Genomic DNA, 18194 nt, shown 5'->3' on the forward strand with positions numbered 1-18194 from the left:
GTCACACAGCTGGAGTGCAGTGGCACAATCTCAGCTCACTGCAACCTCCGCCTCCTGGGTGTAAGAGATTCTCCTGCCTCAGCCTCCCATGTAGCTGAGATTACAGGCATACACCACCACGCCTGGCTAATTTTTGTATTTTTAGTAAGGACGGGATCTCAGAATATTGGCCAGGCTGGTCTTGAACTCCTGGCCTCAAGTGATCCGCCTGTCTCGGCCTCCCAAAGTGCTGGGATTGCAGGCGTGAGCCACCGCGCCCAGCTGGCACAGGGATATTTAAAAGTATCCTATGCCCCCATGCCAGTGATTCTAATGTGAATGGTTGAGAACTACTGCTTTAAGACAATCTTTCCAAATTATAATCTTGACAGGTTTAACAATGACAATAAAACATCAACAGTAAAGAACTAGTTTAAGAATGTGACAAGGCACTGAACCTAATATAATACCAGGGAGTCAAGACAATGAGAGGAAACTCATACTGAGGGTGGGATATCAACTGGTGGAATCCTTCAGAGAATATGGCAGTAAGAATCAAAGGTTTATATTCATAGGCTTGATCTAGTGATATGCATTTAGAATCTCAGACTTAGTCTAAGAAAAATCTGAAAAACACACAAAGATTCGGGTACATGGATATTAACCTAACTGCCAACAATAGATTGGTTAAAAAAAATAGGAATATCATATAGCCATAAAAAAATCATGTTTTTGCTGAAAATTAAAAGGCACAGGACAATGCTTACAACTTATAAAGGGAAAAGAGCACTTGCAAAATGGAACTAATCAGTTCTTTACTTGGATCCATATACTGTTTCAGGTAGTTGATGATATATCACAAATGACATGTATCATTGTTTGTGTACACATATATACACACACAGATACACATATTCATACATATATACATACATATATACACACACACACACACGAGAGAAAGAGACAGGAAGGGAGAAAGAGAGCGGGAGATTTCTTTTGGGAAGAGGTTTCAAAAATTTCATGAGACTCTCAAAACATATCTCTCAAACAGGCTGAAGAACCATAGTACACACTAAGACCCCTATTTTGAAATAAATGAATAAGTACTAACATTTACTGAGCTCTTCAAATGTAAAACACAGGCAGGGTGCAGTGGCTCACGCCTGTAATCCCAACACTTTGGGAGGCAGAGGCAGGAGGATCACTTTGAGCCCAGGAGTTAGAGACCAGACTGGGCAACATAGGAAGACCCCCATCTCTACCAAAAAAAAAAAAAAAAATTAGCTGAGTGTGGTGGTCTGCACCTGTAGTCCAGCTACTCGGGAGGTTAAGGTGGGAGGACTGCTTGGGCCGGGGAGGTCAATGCTACAGTGAGCCATGATCACACCACTGCACTCCAGCCTAAGCAACAGAGCAAGATCTTGTCTCCAAAAAACAAAATAAAATAAAACAAAAACATGTAAAAGGCACTATGCTAAACATACATACTTACTCCAATCCTCAGAACAGTATTAAATAGGTACCAATACAGTTTTTCTCATTTTACAAATCCTTTGTCACATTTCTATAAGGGTCACTGTTTTTATTTATTCTAAAATTGTAATCTTTTGAAAGATCATATACCCTTTGTCCCAATTCTACTTCTGAGAATTTATTCTAAGGAAACAATCAAGAAAGTTCAGGACAAATTTAGCTTCATGTTGTCCATTTATTCTACCGTTGTTCATCACAGAAAAATAAATGGAAACCACTTAAATAGCTATTAATAAGAAATCAGTTAAATAAAGAATACTACCAAACAAACTAGTATGTACCCATTTAAATAAAAAATATTTAAAGATACTGAAGATAAAAGTTAGACAGGAAAGAACAAATTTTAACTCTGCTACTTACTGTACAATTTTACACAATTTAACTTATCACTTAAGTCTGTTTCTCTTCTGTAAAACTGGAAAAATACACAACTTCCCAGGGTTGTTATGAAGATTCCACAAGACATCATTCATAAAAGCACTAGTCTTCCTAGACTTCCGAATTAGCTGAGATACTCTCTGAAGAAATAATACTGAGGCTGAGATCTGAAGGGTGAGTGAAGGTGCAATAGCCCATTCCAGGCAGGGCCATCGATGAGTGAAGATCTGCTTAAAAGACCACTTAGGTGACTACCCCAGATGGATAGATCTCAAGGCCAAGGATGGTAAGAGTGGCGACAGTGACAACAGACAGACATTTAGAAGTAGCATCTATAGGACTTGATTATTGACTGCATGTCGGGGAGTTGAGAAGAGGGAGATGTCAAGGATGATTTCCAGGTTTTGGGCAGGCACAACAGGATGTATGGTGGTGCCATCTACAGAGTTGGGGGTTCCTGGAGGAAGAGCAGGTGTGGGCTGTGGGGAAGTGGAAATGCTCAGTTTGGAACTTGCTGAGCTTGAAATACATATGAGCTATCCAAGTGGAGGCACGGTTAGCAGATTTGTGGGTCTGGAGCTCAGAAGAAAGGTCTAACTTAGAGATAAAATTTTAGGAGAACGCATAGGGTGTAAAGCGTCCCTGAAGAGCACCACCATTTAGGATAGGGATTGGAGAACCTTGCTGAGCAATGAGACAGGAGAGAAACCAGGGGAGGGAAATACCACGGGAACTAGGGGAATATAATATCCGAAGAAAGTTGCGCCTGTCCCAGGTTAAGCCCTTCTTGCAAGGCTTCAAAAACGCCGAAGTCTCTCAAAATACTTTCACACAGAGAAGTAGCAGGGGGTGCGTGTCCAAGGTGGCCGAGGCGGGGTGCACACTTGTGTAGGGCACTTTCCCCCCGGCCCAGCGCGGAGACAGGCGAACTGGAGAGCCGCCCTGCCCACGCAGCTCGCAGCTGCCATCTTGGACCCCGGCAGGACCAGCTCCTTTCAGGCGCTGTGAAGCCCGCTCGTGGCGGCTGCCAAAGTCCGGGGAAAAACACAGGGGTCGGTGACGAGCAGAGATACTCACCATGTCCGCGACGTGGCGGTGACACGGGCGCTGACGCCTGCCCAAAAGTTCCGGGGGCCGGCCCTGAAGTGGTGTCACCGCACGGCCCAGGGGCGGGGCCCGGGCGGACCAACTACAACTCCCGACATGCTCGGCGGCATGACGTCACGGAGCGTACCACACCGCAGTCCCTCGCGGACGGCGAGGCGGGGCGGGTAGCCGAAGACTTATGTTTGGTAAATTCTATTAGTTAAGTCTTTTCTGTCCTACAGAAGCTCACACATCCTTCTGTGTGTTCTTCGATGCGGATTCGAATCTCCTCGTATCCTCCCACAGCGTGCTTGGAATGGATTCTCCCGTACCCGGGGCAACACATCACACAATAAACGCCAGCTGTGGTGGAACGTGCAGAGGCGCTGCGCAGCCCAGGCGTGTCGCGCGCTTGGGAACCCTCGCCGCTCCCGCAGCGCAGTTAACGTGGACAAGCTGGGGCAACCTGGACGAGCTGGGGCAACCTGATCTCGGCTGTCGGAGTGGGTGTCCTCAAGAAAGGTGACTTGGTCCTCGCGGACGCCAGGTGTTGCCCCTTAGATACCTGCCACCTCCCAGCCTCCGTTTCCTCTCTGGGAAACAGACTCCTCATCACCTCCTCCAGTTTTCTGCCCCTTCTTCACCTCTCCTGACGCTCCATCCGTACCTTTTGCAAGGGAACGTGCCATAATTCGGCTATGCTCTATTTTCTTGTCTAATAGATTGTAAGCTCCTTGCGGGCAGCATCTATGCCTTCTTAAATCTGTTTCTAGTTTCTACCAGCAAGCTTGCCCCGAAGGGGATTGCAGAATATCTGTTAAATAAGTGAATGAATAATTTTGTAAATGTTGCTCAATAAGAGTTAAGTAGTGGCGGGCCGGGCGCGGTGGCTGACGCCTGTAATCCCAGCACTTTGGGAGGCCAAGGCAGACGCATCACCTGCGCTCACGAGTTCGAGGCCAGCCTGGGCAAAATGGTGAAACCCCTGTCTCTACTAAAAATACCAAAAAAAAAAAAAAAAAAAAAAAAAAAAAAAAAAAATAGCCGGGCATGGTGGCGGGTGCTTGTAGTCCCAGCTACTCGGGAGGCTGAGACAGGAGAATCGCTTGAACCCGGGAGGCGGAGGCTGCAGAGAGCCAAGACAGCTCCACTGCACTCCTAGCCTGGGCAACAGAGAGAGACTCCGTCTCAAAAAAAAAAAAAAATTAATAAGAAAAAAGTTAAGTGATGGGAAAGTTCTAGGCAAGAATTTCTTCCCTCCCTCCTCCCTGGCTCGCTTGTGTGCCGGGAGCTGCGCAGATGCGGGGATACCGTGAGAGGGAGGAACCTGTCTCAGCTCCTGCCCTTGTGCCGTGGAGCTTTGAAATATAAGGTAAATGAAAGTACTAAATCTTGACTGAAGTTTGGTTTTAAAGCATCTCTGATTAATGGAAGAGGTAGGATGTGGGGAAGGGCGTTGTATTTAGTTATGTTTCAGTTTAAAATGAATCTTCACTTGCCCCTTTGGTGTTACGTATTAGCAATGATTCATGCTCAGGTGAGCCAGTTTCAGGCAGGCTTGCAGAGAGGCACTCAAACAGCTTGCTTTAAATTTAAGGTAAAAGGCCGGGCGCGGTGGCTCACGCCTGAAATCCCAGCACTTTAGGAGGCCGAGGCAGGTGAATCACTTGAGGTCAGGAGTTTGAGACCAGCCTGACCAACATGGTGAAACCCCGTTTCTACTAAAAATACAAAAATCAGCCGGGCGTGGTGGCAGGTGCCCGTAGTCCCAGCTACCTGGGAGGCTGCGGCAGGAGAATTCCTTGAACCCAGGAGGCGGAGGTTGCAGTGAGCTGAGATAGCGCCTCTGCATTCCAGCCTGGGCGACAGAGCGAGACTCCATCTTAATAAGCAAAGAAATAAATAAATTTAAGGTAAAAGGTTCTTACCAGCCGGGCGCGGTGGCCCACTCCTGTAATCCCAGCACTTTGGGAAGCCGAGGCAGGTGGATCACCTGAGGTCAGGAGTTCAAGACCAGCCTGGCCAACATGGTGAAACCCCGTCTCTACTAAAAAATACAAAGTTAGCTGGGCGTGGTGGCAGACGCCTGTAATCCCAGCTACTTGGGAGGCTGAGGCAGAAGAATCGCTTGAACCTGGGAAGCGGAGGTTGCAGTGAGCCGAGATCGCGCTATTGCACTCCATCCTGGGCTACAAGAGCGAAACTCTGTCTCAAAAAAAAAAAAAAAATGGTTCTTACTTTGGATTACAAACTGTGAGGACTAACCCAATGTTTGTTTTCTTCACTTATGTATGCCCAGTGCTTAGCTCATAATTGGTGCTTTAAAAACTTTAGAATGGGATAGAGGTAAGTATTCTTAGCTCCTTGGGCCTCTTCCTTTTTAAAAATAACATGTCTACTATTAGAAATTAATTTCTGGCCGGGCGCGGTGGCTCATGCCTGTAATCCCAGCGCTTTGGGAGGCCGAGGTGGGTGGATCACTTGAGGCCAGGAGTTCGAGACCAGCCTGGCCAACATAGTTAAACCCTGTCTCTACTAAAAATACAAAAACAGCTGGGCATGGTGGCGCGTGTCTGTAATCCAGCTACTCAGGTGGCTGAGGCAGGAGAATCGCTTGAACCTGGGAGGCGGAGGTTATAGTGAGCCAAGAACATGCCACTGCACTCCAGCCTGGGACTGTCTAAAAAAAAAAAAAACAACAACAACAACAAAAAAAAAAGAGACTCTGTCTTAAAACAATTAATTTCTAAATAAAGAGTTGCATGTTTAATATTTCACCTTTGTTTGAAGTGGTCATTTCCAAAGAAAGCTCAGAGTTGAAGTATACCTGTTAACAAATACTCAGAATTCATTGTAGAATTTTTGTTTTTGTTCTCGTTTTTATCTTGCCTAAATAATTGTTCTCTTCCCCATTCCCTTTATAATTTTGCCAGTGACACACTTATTATGTTTATTTAAACTTGAAAAAAACCTCAAGAGTTGTAGGGTAATACCTCAATGTGTTGTACATCCTGAAAAGCTGTTATATTTTCAACATAAGGGACAATGCAGGATGCTGAAATCATTGTATTTAAACTGTAAAAATGTCTGCCTTATATAATTATGATTTTAAAATCTACCCTGAACTTCTCAAAAGAAGGATTTGTTTATAATACACCGTACAGTAATAATTTTATCATTTCCAACAGATAAATGGCAGTGTAATCGATGAGATCTTGTACATTCCTTTGTAATTTGTGAGCACTTCATACGGAGAGTCAAGGGGGAGGGCTCATCTGGAGAATTTTGAATCCCAGTATTCTCCCCCACCCCGCAGAGTAGGTTCTTTCCCCATGGAGTATGAGGCTATTGTTTTGTAGTAAACCTTAAACTCTCAGACTGAAAGTAATTAGAACTGGAAATTAGTAACCACTTTTTTCTAAACTTTTCCCCTTTATTTTTATTTTCAATGTAAAGTAGGACTTTGCTATAAAACACGTGACCCTAGGGAAACTTTTGAAGTTAGCGGTATAGAGAGTACCACCACCAGACGCCACCATGCCTGCGGAAGGAGGAAAAACGGACATGGAAAGGATTGGCCTCTTTAGTGAGATGGAATATATTACTGTGGGTGATAAATATGTGTCACAATTTAATCGTAAGTATATTTGCTTTTCTCTATGGACGAATAGTGGGTATTTTCTATATAAAATTTAGAATTTAATATTTAAGTCAAATGATTTTTTAATGGTTTATATTTTAAAGCATTTAGTTCTAAAGTTTGTTAACGTGTAAAATTTCAATGAAGTTAAGCGATATCATTTATTTATTTATTTAGAAACAGGATCTTTGTTACCCAGGCTGGAGTGCCAGTGGCCTGATTATAGCTCACTGCAGTCTCAAACTCCTGGGCTCAAGGGTTCCTCCCATCTTCAGCCTCCTGAGTCTACAGGCACACACTACCATGCCCAGCTAATTTTTAAATACTTTGTGGAGTAGGGCGGGGGAGCTCTCACTATGTTGCCCAGGCTGGTCTTGAACTCTTGACCTCAAGAGACCCTCCCCACTCAGCGTGCCGTAGTGCTGGGGTTAAGAGGCATGAGCCACAGCACCCAGCAAGAAGGTGATTTTATGAGAATAGGAATCTCGTTTTATTAGGGTATTCTATCCTAATTTATTGTCCTCATAGGTAATTTGATTTCTTTTCAAAGGTGCCTGGCAGTTTTCTCCCAGAATATTTTGGTTAGATGGGACACTCCCCTATGCAAACAGCATTTACATTTGCGTCCAAGAAGGCCATCCATTGTTACCTTCCTGAGAAATGAAATGCTAAGTGAATGGCTGAGGGATTTTTACAAAAGTCATAAATAATAAAAAGAGCTAATATACATAAATATTTAAATGTCTCAGTTCAATTTTTGGATATCCAATTACTTCTACATAATAATACAAAATAAAACACTGATTTGGAGATATCTCGAAGATACATTGTTAAATAAAAAAAGCAAGGTGCAGAATAGTCTATATAGTGTGCTCAGCATGAACAATGTGATTCTTCTGAGACAGCATTTAAAAAAATGAAAAAGGATATCTATGAAAATATTCACTTGAACATACCTGAACATTCTTTGGGAAACAAAATGATTATCTCTTTGCCTGTGGAAGAAGAATTGGGTGGCCAAGTATAGGAGAAGACTTCTTGTGAAAATGTTTATACTTTTGAATTTGGAACTATTTGAATGTATTACCTTTTCAAAAATTTAAGTTGGCCAGGTGTGGTGGCTCACAGCTGTAATCCCAGCACTTTGGGAGGTGGTGGCAGGAGGATTGCTTGATGCCAGGAGTTCAAGACAAGCCTGGACAACATAGTGAGACCCTGTCTCTACAAAAAATACAAAAATTAGCTGGGCATGGTGTCCTGCCCGTATAGTCTCAGCTACTTGGGAGGCTGCGGCAGGAAGTTAAGCCCAGGAGGTTGAGGCTGCAGTGAGCCATGGTCTCACCACTGCATTCCAGTCTGGGTGCCAGAAGGAGACCTTGTCAAAAAAAAAAAAGTTTAAAAAACTCAGTGATACTGGCCAGGCGTGGTGGCTCTCGCCTGTAATCCCAGCACTTTGGGAGGCTGAGGTGGGTGGATCACAAGGTCAGGAGTTCAAGACCAGCCTGAGAAATATGGTGAAACCCCGTCTCTACTAAAAATACAAAAATTAACCAGCCATGGTGGTGCACACCTGTAGTCCCAGCTACTTGGGAGGCTGAGGCAGGAGAATCGCTTGAACCTGGGAGGTGGAGGTTGCAGTGAGCTGAGATCGTGCCACTGCACTCCAGCCTGGGCAACAGAGTGAGACTCCGTCTCAAAAAAAAAAAAAAAAAAAAAGTCAGTGATACAGATTCACATTTAGTAGCCAGGTGAATTAAGGATTGTGTGCACTTCAAAAACTTCTCCATGTTTCCAAAGCTCTCCTCAAATAGAGCTCTCCTAGATCTAAATTATGAAAGAAGTTCTAAATACTTATTAAAACAGCCTTTAAAAAATTACTGGGCTACTAGTATTTCACTGTATAAATTCCACAGCTTAAAAATCTGTTCTCCTGTTGATGGACATTTGGGCTATTTTATGTTTTTGATTATTATGAATAAAACTGCTATGAACATTCTTGTTAATGTCTTTTAGTGGCCATAGACACTCACGCATCTTGAATATATGCCCCAGAGAGGAATTGCTTCAATTTGAGTGTGAAACACCCTTCTCTTCGACCTGCGCACACACTCTCACTGACATCTCACACATGACCTACGCGCACACCCTTACTGACATCTCACACAGTGCTTTCTAGTCTGTAGTTGGAGAAACATTGAATTAGATCATTTTAAGGTCTCTACCAGCTCTAAAACTCAGAGTGTATAAGCAAGACCTTACATATTAACATGTTTTGATGAAAACCACTTAGGTCTTATTGTCAAGATAGCCATTCACACAGAGCTTTCAGGGAATGTTTTGAAACAGTGCTTTAGAGCTCAAAATTCATAATTGGCCCAAATCATATTTGGAAATTGTTATCTTATTTTTCATGTCCTTTAATTGCTAGTCAGCTCAAAATTATAATATGCCTAATTTATCTTTAAAGGACCCTTTAATGAGGCTGCAAGCAAAAATAAACAGATGCTACCTGGAGGGTCCAAAGAAATGTCAGATCTTCAGGCAGGTTATTTTGATCCCCATTTTGTAAGGATTTTTGAAGGTGAAGGCTACATAAATCTGAATCAAGTGAGGAGACGGGATATGGTGGAAGCAGCCAAAAAAAATCTAGGCAAAGCATTCCTCCCTAGTAATGGAGAGAAAAAGCCGTAAGTGTTTTTTGGGAAAAGTCTTAAATATACCTCCTGTACCTTTATCCCTAAATTAAATATTTGTTTTTCTGTAGGACTTACTTATGTAAGATGAATTTTTAAGTATTATTCTTAGTTTGTCTTAGGTGGAGATAGTTGTATTGGATGATTTAGATTGACAAGTAATCTTGATTAAATATATTCTCATTATCATATTAAATTTTGGATTATCTATATCACTATGCTCTATTTGTTGATATAATAAAAACAACCTAAATAATAAAATTTGTTCAAAAACCTTGCAAAGTCAGATTGGCGGAAAAAATTGCCTTGAATTATCATGTCTATGCCCCTGACTGTTTTTTCTGCTGTTAAAGAAGTATAGATAAAAATATGAGGCTGGGTGCAGTGGCTCATGCCTATAATCCCAGCACTTTTGGAGGCCGAGCTAGGAGGAATGCTTGAGGCCAGGAGTTTGAGACCAGCCTGGGCAATATAGAGAGACCCCATCTCTACAAAAGTTAAAAAATTAGCTAGGTGTGGTAGCAATGTGCCTGTAGTCCCAGCTACTCAGGAGGCTGAGGTGAGAGAATCCCTTGAGCCCAGGAGTTTGAGGTTACAGTGAGCTATGATTGAGCCACTGCACTCCAGCCTGGATGTCAGAGCAAGATCTTGTCTAAAAAAAAAAAATGTGGAATTAGGATACATTTTTTTTGTTGTTTTTTGAGACAGAGTCTTGCTCTGTTGCTCAGGCTGGAGTGCAGTGGCATGATCTCAGCTCAGTGCAACCTCTGCCTCCTGGGTTCAAGTGGAGGAGGGTTCTGGGCCACGCCTGGCCAGAAATTCTTTTTTGATGAAGAAAATAATTGATCAAAAATTCATTATTTTTAAATTATTATGAAGATATACTCATGAGGTTTAACAGTATCTTAGTTGTGACAACTGTCAATGTTCCCTTTAAGTTAGTTTAACATTAGACCATGAAGTCAATGTAATGTTATATAACTGAGACTTAAAACGTAATGTTCAGTGAAACCCCATCCCTACTAAAAATACAAAAAATTAGCCAGGCATGGTGGCATGCACCTGTAGTCCCAGCTACTCAGGAGGCTGAGGCAGGAGAATCTCGCTTTAACTCCGGAGCCTGAGGTTGCAGTGAGCCAAGATCACACCACTGCACTCCAGCCTGGGTGACAGACTGAGACTCCATCTCAAAAAAAAAAAAAAAAAGAAAAGAAAAGTAATGTTCATTCACACTCAAAGCTTTGAGTCTCTCAGTTTATTAATTTGATAGATGATAACCGAAGTCTAATTTTGTGCTTATTTACTGTGTTTTTTGATACTAGTAAAACTACTTTGTATAACTTATACTTCCTTCTAATTCTAGTAGGCAACGTCAGCCAAAATTATTGTCTCTATTAAGAGTGAGGATTTTTGGCCGGGCACGGTGGCTCACACCTGTAATCCCAGCACTTTGGGAGGCCGAGGCGGGCGGATCACCTGAGGTCAGGAGTTTGAGACCAGCCTGGCCAACATGGCGAAACCCCGTCTCTACTAAAAATATAAAAATTAGCCGGGCGTGGTGGTGGGCGCCTGTAATCCCAGCTACTCGGGAGGCTGAGGCAGGAGAATCACTTGAACCCAGGAGGCGGAGGCTGCAGTGAGCCAAGATTGTGCCACTGCACTCCAGCCTGGGCGACAGAGACTCTGTCTCAAAAACAAAACAACAAAACAAAAAAAGACTGAGGATTTTCGGTGGGTGCAGTGGCTCATGCCTGTGATCCCAGCACCTTGGGAGGCTGAGGCGGATGTATTGCTTGAGTCTAGGAGTTTGTGACCAGTCTGGACAACATGACAAAAACCCATCTCTACAAAATATACAAAAATTAAGCCAGCGTGGCGATGCATGCCTTTAGTCCCAGCTACTCGGGAGGCGGAGGTTGCAGGGAACACTTGAGCCGGGAGTTTGAGGCTGCGGTGAGCTGAGACTGCACCACTGCACTGCACTGCAGCCTGGGCAACAGAGTGAGACCCTGTCTGAAAAAAAACAAAAAAATAAAAAAGAGTGAGGGTTTTCTTCTTTAATTTCATCTTTTTCTACCTTTTGACACTTTGGATAGATTTGAATTATTTATTCTTATTATTACTACTGTTTCTTGAAATCTTTCATTTTCTTGGATATAAATTTAAAAATGTGATTTTTTTCCTTTTGTCACTACTTTCTTTTTCATGGAATATGTGAAATAACTTTTTCCTAGTTTTCAGTCTTTTCTCCTGCCTGTGATAAACTTTGACTCATGTGGTAATAATTGGAAATTGCTACCTTGATACATTAGTTTATAATAGGCTTATATTCATCTGTCAGCCAAGAAATAATAACAGTTTTATAATTAGACTAGCTTTCCTTTTTTAAAATAATTCATAGATATGTGAAAAACATCTATAATTTAGTGGATACAGAAAGTGTTTCCAAAAAGAGAGACTAGTGTTTTAAGTAAGAAACCCTATAAGACACTTATTGAACACCAAATTATGGAACCGTAGGCATTTATTATATATATATTTATTTTTGTGAGATGGAGTCTGGCTCTGTCATCCAAGCTGGAGTGCAGTGGCGCGATCTCAGCTCACTGCAATCTCCGCCTCCCAGGTTCAAGCGAGATTCTCCTGCCTCAGCCTCCCAAGTAGCTGGGATGACAGGCACAGGCCACCACGCCCGGCTAGTTTTTTGTGTTTTTAGTAGAGATGGGTTTCGCCATGTTGGCCAGGCTGGTCTCAAACTCCTGACCTCAGGTGATCTGCCCACCTCAGCCTCCCAAAGTGCTGGGATTACATACGTGAGCCACCACACCCACCCCCGGAACCGTAGGCATTTAATACATTCTAAATAGAATGACTTTTAGTGCTTGCGTTAAATCACATTTTGGGTAAATTATGCCTGTCTGTGAATAGTTCTCCTTTATCTGCATTATCCCTGCTCTATTTCCTTGTTGTATTTTAGAATTTCATTATATAGGTTCATAAAGAGGGATTAATTAAAATATGCTTTCCTACCATTTGTAGACTGAAGGTATTGACAATAAGCAATCGGTGTTGATGTCTTTCTAGTTTTTGAAATTTTTAACTCAGATGTATGAACAGTGTCAAGTTTTGATAGTAATAAGGTTTCATGTGTCTTGTAGACCTTTTTCTGATTATTAAAATTTGTTTACTTCAATGGTAACTTAAGAATTAGAGACTATGACTGTTGCTGACAATAGTTACCCTTATTGTGGAAGTTTTAAGAAAAATTTGTTAAAGTGCTGGATAGTAAATACTTTGATGATTTTACATAGATACTGTGTGCCCAGAAAATTTAACATTAAAATGGAAGAAAAGAAAATATTTGGTTAATTTTTTCTACAGCAAACAGAAGAAAATTAGCACCCAAATTCCATGAGTCACTTTCTGTCAGTAGTGGAAACAGCAGTCTTAAATATTTGTTTTGCAAGTGTAGTTTCTTGTGGGTGGATAGTCAGAAGTAATTAGCCATTTATTAGCTAACTTGCCATAAAGCATCCATAAATTAATCTAAAAACACAAAAGACTCTGTTTATTGTTACAGTTAACTGAATTAATGAGAATGATTCTAACTTCCTAAGGATTATGCAGTTCTATTTTTTGTAGAATGTTTATAATAATAAAAATATTAAAAACATATCTTATGTCAAAATCTGTGACTGAAGAATGAGGAAAATGAAATTAGATTAAAACTAGCATTTTTTTCTCTTTTTTTCAATCTGTTTAAAAATTATGATAAAATAGACTTAAACTTTGCCATTTTAACCTCCTTCTTTTAAAACATCAAAAAATTGTATTTAAGATGTGGCTTAGGAAGCTACTATGGAACAATAGGTGGTCCAGTCCCATTTTTCAGCGCACAGTCAAAACCTCGAGAAAAATACAAGGCACCTGGAAAGAATTTATACACAAACCCGGGAAAGAAAGGAACTGGATATGGGTAAGATATTTTTAATACTTTGTCATATCGTTTGTTTTGAAATTTAAAAAAATTAAATTTCTGAATTCTGAAGTCACCATTACTTACTTTGCTTTCTTAGCTATGCAAATATTACCATAGGTAAACAGTTTTCACACTCTGCCGACTTCTATGATGCAGCAAAACTAAAGTATAAGGTAAAAAATCTGTTTTGAATGTTTCAACCTTTCTTTTATTTAGCTAACTCGATATTAATAATTCACTTGAGGCCGGGCACGGTGGCTCACATCTGTAATCCCAGCACTTGGGGTGGCCGAGATGGGCGGATCACGAGGTCAGGAGTTCGAGACCAGCCTGACCAACATGGTGAAACCCCATCTCTACTAATCTTACAAAAATTAGCCAGGTGTGGTGGCGGGCACCTGTAATCCCAGCTACTCAGGAGGCTGAGGCAGGAGAACCGCTTGAACCCAGGATACGGAGGTTGCAGTGAGCCAAGGTCGCGCCACTGCACTCCAGCCTCGGTGACAGAACGAGACTCCGTCTCAAAAATAATAATAATAATAATAATAATAATAATAATTCACTTGAGATCTAATTTTGTTTTGTTCTATCTATTTGTATCACTGGGGCAGTGGCAAACTCATGTTTATGAATTGTGATAATTTTACCCTTTTATTAGATTTTCATGTCTTGCTGTATATCCTCTCAGCTCCTTCCAGGATGAATTTTATCTCTTGCTATGGTTTACCACATCTATTTTACATCTCTGTAAACTAGCTGTGAAACTTCTATTAGCCTGGCCTGATGAACTATGTTCTATTTTAAATAAAGAGTCATATCCTGACCCTTAGCCATATTCCCACCATACCCTACTATCTGTGCCTGCAAAAGGAATTGTAATACTTTTGGGCTGATCAAGAAGCCATTATGATGAGCAGATGGGATGGAGGAGTGGAGGCGTGATGGGAAAAGGTGGAGGTGAGAGAATGGATGAATCCTGTGAGTAGACAGAGTGAAAGGATAGGAGAAAACTGCTCACTTTATTAAATGGCAGAGATAAAAACTAAAATGTGCTAGCATATGCCTCTTACACTCACTGTGTACCATATTTGACTTGTAATGAGACCTGTTCACTTATATGCGGAATGTCTATTTGTAAATAAATAAAGGAACCCTTATAAATCTTAGAACCATATGAACATAATTTCACAATATCAGCATAACATAAAGAAAGCAGGTAGTAATGAAAAGTCAACTTAATTTGGACATTAAGCATTAAATGGCAATCACTTTGTAGTTTTTTGTTTTTGTTATTAGAGGCATGCAGGCTTTAGCAGTTTTGCTATGGTAAAAAATTTTAAATACCAGTGGAATGTGAGAGAATAAGGACCATTATGCTGATGGGCATGTCCAAACTCAGGAACAGTTTTCTATTAAATTGGGCAGAAACCTTGGTTCTTATAAAATTGTATATAAGCTAGTTTTCATCTGTAGGGATAATATTGCATACATACTACATAACTACATACAGTGGAGTTTTATAGTGGCTCTGTAATTAATCTTTTACCCTATACTTATTGGGTATAACATACTTTTCTCTCTTAACAGAAAAAGCTCTTTTATCCTCATTTTTAGAACTTATACATAAGTCAGAAATTTTATGTTCCTAGATTTCCTAATATTCTAAAAGTAATTTTGAAAAATTTATCTTGCTTTTTCTTTTAGTATTTAAAAAAGGTTACTCCACTGTCTTCCTGCTTGACTTGTCTCTGATGAGAAACCTGTTGTCATGCTCATTTTTGTTCTTCTGCATGCACTATGTCCTTTCCTCTGGCCACTTTTTTTTTCTTTTTATGACTCATTTAAGCAGTTTGATTATGATGTGACTTTGTGTTGTTTTCTTTCATCCTTCTTGTGCTTGAGGTTTATTGAGCTTCTTGGATCTATGGGTTTATAGTTTTTCAAATCAAATTTGGAATATTTCCAGTTATTATTTCTTCAGATATTTTTATCTGTCTTTCTCTTCCCCTTCAGAAATTCCAGTTACATGTGCATTAGGTCTCTTGAAATTGTCCTACAATTTACCAACACCCTATTAACTTAAAAAAAAGTCCTTTTTTCCTTCTATGTATTTCATTTTGGTTAGTTTTTATTGCTGCATCTTCAAACTCACCAATCTATTTTTCTGTAATGTCCAATCTGCTGTTAATGTCAACCAGTATATTTTTAATTTCATACATTGTGGTTTTGCTCTCTAGAAGTTTGAGTATTTTTAATGTCTTACCTGTCTCTACTTAATTTTTTGAGCATTCAGGATATAGTTACTGTCTTAATGCCCTTTTCTGTTAATGCTAACATCTATATTAGTTCTTGGTTGATTTTAAATAATTGATTTTTCTTCTCAGTATGGGGGTCATATTTTGCTACTTTGAGTTACTGGCAATTTTTTTATTGGATGTCAAATACTAGGAATTTTACTTCGTTGAGTGCTGTATATTTTTGTATTCTTATAAATATTCTCGGGCTTTTTCTGGAGTGCTGTCACATTACTTAGAAATGGTTTTTACCTTTTCAGTTCTTGCATTTAAGATTTGTTAGGTGTGATAGGAGCTATGCTCAATCTAGGGCTGTTTATTCCCCACTACTGGGGCAAGACCTGTCTAGGTACTCCGTCCGATGCCCTGTGAATTAGGACATTTTCTTGCACAGCTGATGGCAACCACCACAATTCCCAGCTCTGTGTGAGAGCCAGACACTGTTACCTCACATTCTTTCAGGTGGTTCTTTTCTTGGCTTTGAATAGTTTTCTCATACGTCTGCTGACCAGTACTCAACTGAACATTCTAGGGCAGGGGTTGGTAAGACAAATAGAGTATTCTTCTGGTAAAAGGTGACCATGCTGTAGCAAAAAGTGATCCTAAAACATTACATTATAATCACATGCATGAGAATCACTGTTAAAACTGCAGATTAATAGGCCATACAGCAGACCAATGCAATCAGAAATCTTTGAGGGAAGGGCTTGGTGATTTGTAATTTAAATAAATTATCAAGTGATTCCCATGACAAGTAAATTTTGTGGGAACACTGTCCAAAAAGATCAATAGAATAAATTTTCAGTACCATTGTTGTGATATGGAAGGGTGGAGAGCAGATCACCAAGAATGAATGAATGTCCTACAAGCTGGAGAAAGGAAGAGGACAAGCAAGGGCAAGAGAAAAATCCCAAAAGAAGAAAGGATTCTGAAAGTGCTACAGCAGGTTCCTAGTAGCGAAAGTTAGTCTTTTCTCAAGTAACTATTTTAGATTTCATTTATCAAGTGTTTTCAGTTCAGTTTGTTGAATGATGAAATATCAGATTTTATATTTGCAAAAGTGAAAAAAGTATCAATGTTCACTGTATAGTTTTTTGAATCTATATTTCATAATTTGATTTTTTGCTACTTTATTAATAGCCAGTGATTTTTATACTTAATATTGTCTAATAGAAAAGATTACAACATAAGAGGAAAACATGACTGCTGCTTTGCTTTGAATACTAGATAGCAAAAAAATTATAGACATGTAATATATAATATATACATATCTCATATATACATATATGTATCTATATCTCATATATATGTATATGTAAGATATATACATATACTCATATATGTATATACATAATCTCATATATACATATAAAATGTTTTTTTAAATTATAAAAATGTTATATATACATATCTCACATATACACATATATATCTCATATATATGATATATATACATATATGTATCATATATATGATATATACATATATGTATATGTGTATATGTGAGATATATACACATATGAGATATAGATAATCTCATATATACATATAATTTTTTTAATTATAAAAATGTTATATACGTATCTCATATATACATATAAAATCATATATATACATAATCTCATGTAATCTTTACAACAGCATTAAGTGGGGAATAATAATGTCCTCATTTACAGTTGAAGAAGATGTGACACTGAAATGTAACTTTCCCAGAGTCTCTGAGAAATGCTAAAAGCAGGAAGGGCTTGAACTAGCGACAAGTCTTGTTATGCTGCATCATACTGCACAGATAGTTAATATAGATTCGTTCAGGTGATAAGGTCTCAGTATCGCAAATAAATTTGTATCCAAAATGAATAAGCATAGTTCTGTTTGTCTGTAAGTAGGCATATCTTTTGTATCATAAAAATAGAACATAGTAAATTAATGTTTTAAAAAAGTACACCCAGCAGGATAGATTTAAGAATCATATTTATATTAAAATGTAAAAGATTTAACTCTGGGTTATTTTCAATTTGTGAAATTTGTGCTATGTAATTTCAAACTCTTTAATTCACAGAAAGCGAATGAAGAGCACCATCGTTTACTTAAAGGAGCACCATTTAAGTTAAATCTTCACCCAAGGGACTATTTTGACGCTAATCCTTATTTTTCTGAGGAATCTTTACCACCAATTAAAAAAGAAGAGAAGAAGAAAACAATTTCAAATACTTTTAAACCGTCTTCTCCTGGTAAAAAGGTAAGTTTACAATTTTAGGATGAAAAAATTAAGTATTATAAAGAAATACTGTCTCTTGCTATCAAATGATTTTTTTTCCCATGTAAATAATAAACTTTTGTTTGTATGGATACCAAGAATCATTGGACCCATTTTTACAAAATTACATGAAATCACCAAGTATGAATAGTGTAGGGGATAATGAAGCCCTTGTCATGAAGTAATTATTAGTCTCTTCAAATGTATTTGAATTTATAATTTTTTTTTTTTGAGATGGAGTCTCACTCTTTGCCCGGGCTGGCAGTGCAGTGGCATGATCTAGGCTCACTGCAAGCTCCGCCTCTTGAGTTCAAGCAATACTCCTGCATCAGCCTCCAGAGTAGCTGAGATT

General features: G+C 39.5%; 2 protein-coding genes across 14 annotated transcripts in view, besides 2 other annotated features; one reads left to right on the forward strand and one right to left on the reverse strand.

Annotated features, from left to right (window-relative positions):
- UFSP2 (UFM1 specific peptidase 2) overlaps window positions 1-3069 on the reverse strand; it is a 26428-nt gene extending 23359 nt beyond the window's left edge. For all 3 annotated transcript variants that reach the window (NR_028085.2, NR_144317.2, NM_018359.5), the window contains exon 1: window positions 2971-3069. Coding sequence is in view for 1 of the 3 variants with exons in the window: in NM_018359.5 (NP_060829.2) it covers window positions 2971-2973 (3 nt within the window). In the remaining 2 variants the exon portion in view is untranslated. The remainder of the gene's footprint in view (window positions 1-2970) is intronic.
- CFAP96 (cilia and flagella associated protein 96) overlaps window positions 1-18194 on the forward strand; it is a 41393-nt gene that overhangs the window by 14462 nt on the left and 8737 nt on the right. Inside the window, exons 1-6 of one of the 11 annotated variants that reach the window (XM_017008240.2) lie at window positions 3359-4351; window positions 6436-6616; window positions 9087-9306; window positions 13151-13288; window positions 13389-13464; window positions 17645-17824. In XM_017008240.2, the coding sequence (XP_016863729.1) occupies window positions 6517-6616; window positions 9087-9306; window positions 13151-13288; window positions 13389-13464; window positions 17645-17824 (714 nt within the window). In that variant the 5' untranslated portion in view covers window positions 3359-4351; window positions 6436-6516. Of the gene's footprint in view, window positions 1-3358; window positions 4352-6435; window positions 6617-9086; window positions 9307-13150; window positions 13289-13388; window positions 13465-17644; window positions 17825-18194 lie in introns of those variants that run through there. The other 10 variants (XM_011531989.3, XM_047415719.1, XM_047415718.1 and 7 more) reach the window with 10 other exon arrangements.
- Window positions 2833-2942: an enhancer, noted in NCBI's record as "active region_22260". NCBI's record gives its function as "activates an Ori minimal core promoter by ATAC-STARR-seq in GM12878 lymphoblastoid cells {active_cell/tissue: GM12878}" and the evidence as "EXISTENCE:reporter gene assay evidence [ECO:0000049][PMID:35858748]".
- Window positions 3013-3372: an enhancer, noted in NCBI's record as "active region_22261". NCBI's record gives its function as "activates an Ori minimal core promoter by ATAC-STARR-seq in GM12878 lymphoblastoid cells {active_cell/tissue: GM12878}" and the evidence as "EXISTENCE:reporter gene assay evidence [ECO:0000049][PMID:35858748]".

The sequence above is a fragment of the Homo sapiens genome, chromosome 4 (assembly GCF_000001405.40).
Source record: "Homo sapiens chromosome 4, GRCh38.p14 Primary Assembly".
NCBI lineage: Eukaryota > Metazoa > Chordata > Mammalia > Primates > Hominidae > Homo > Homo sapiens.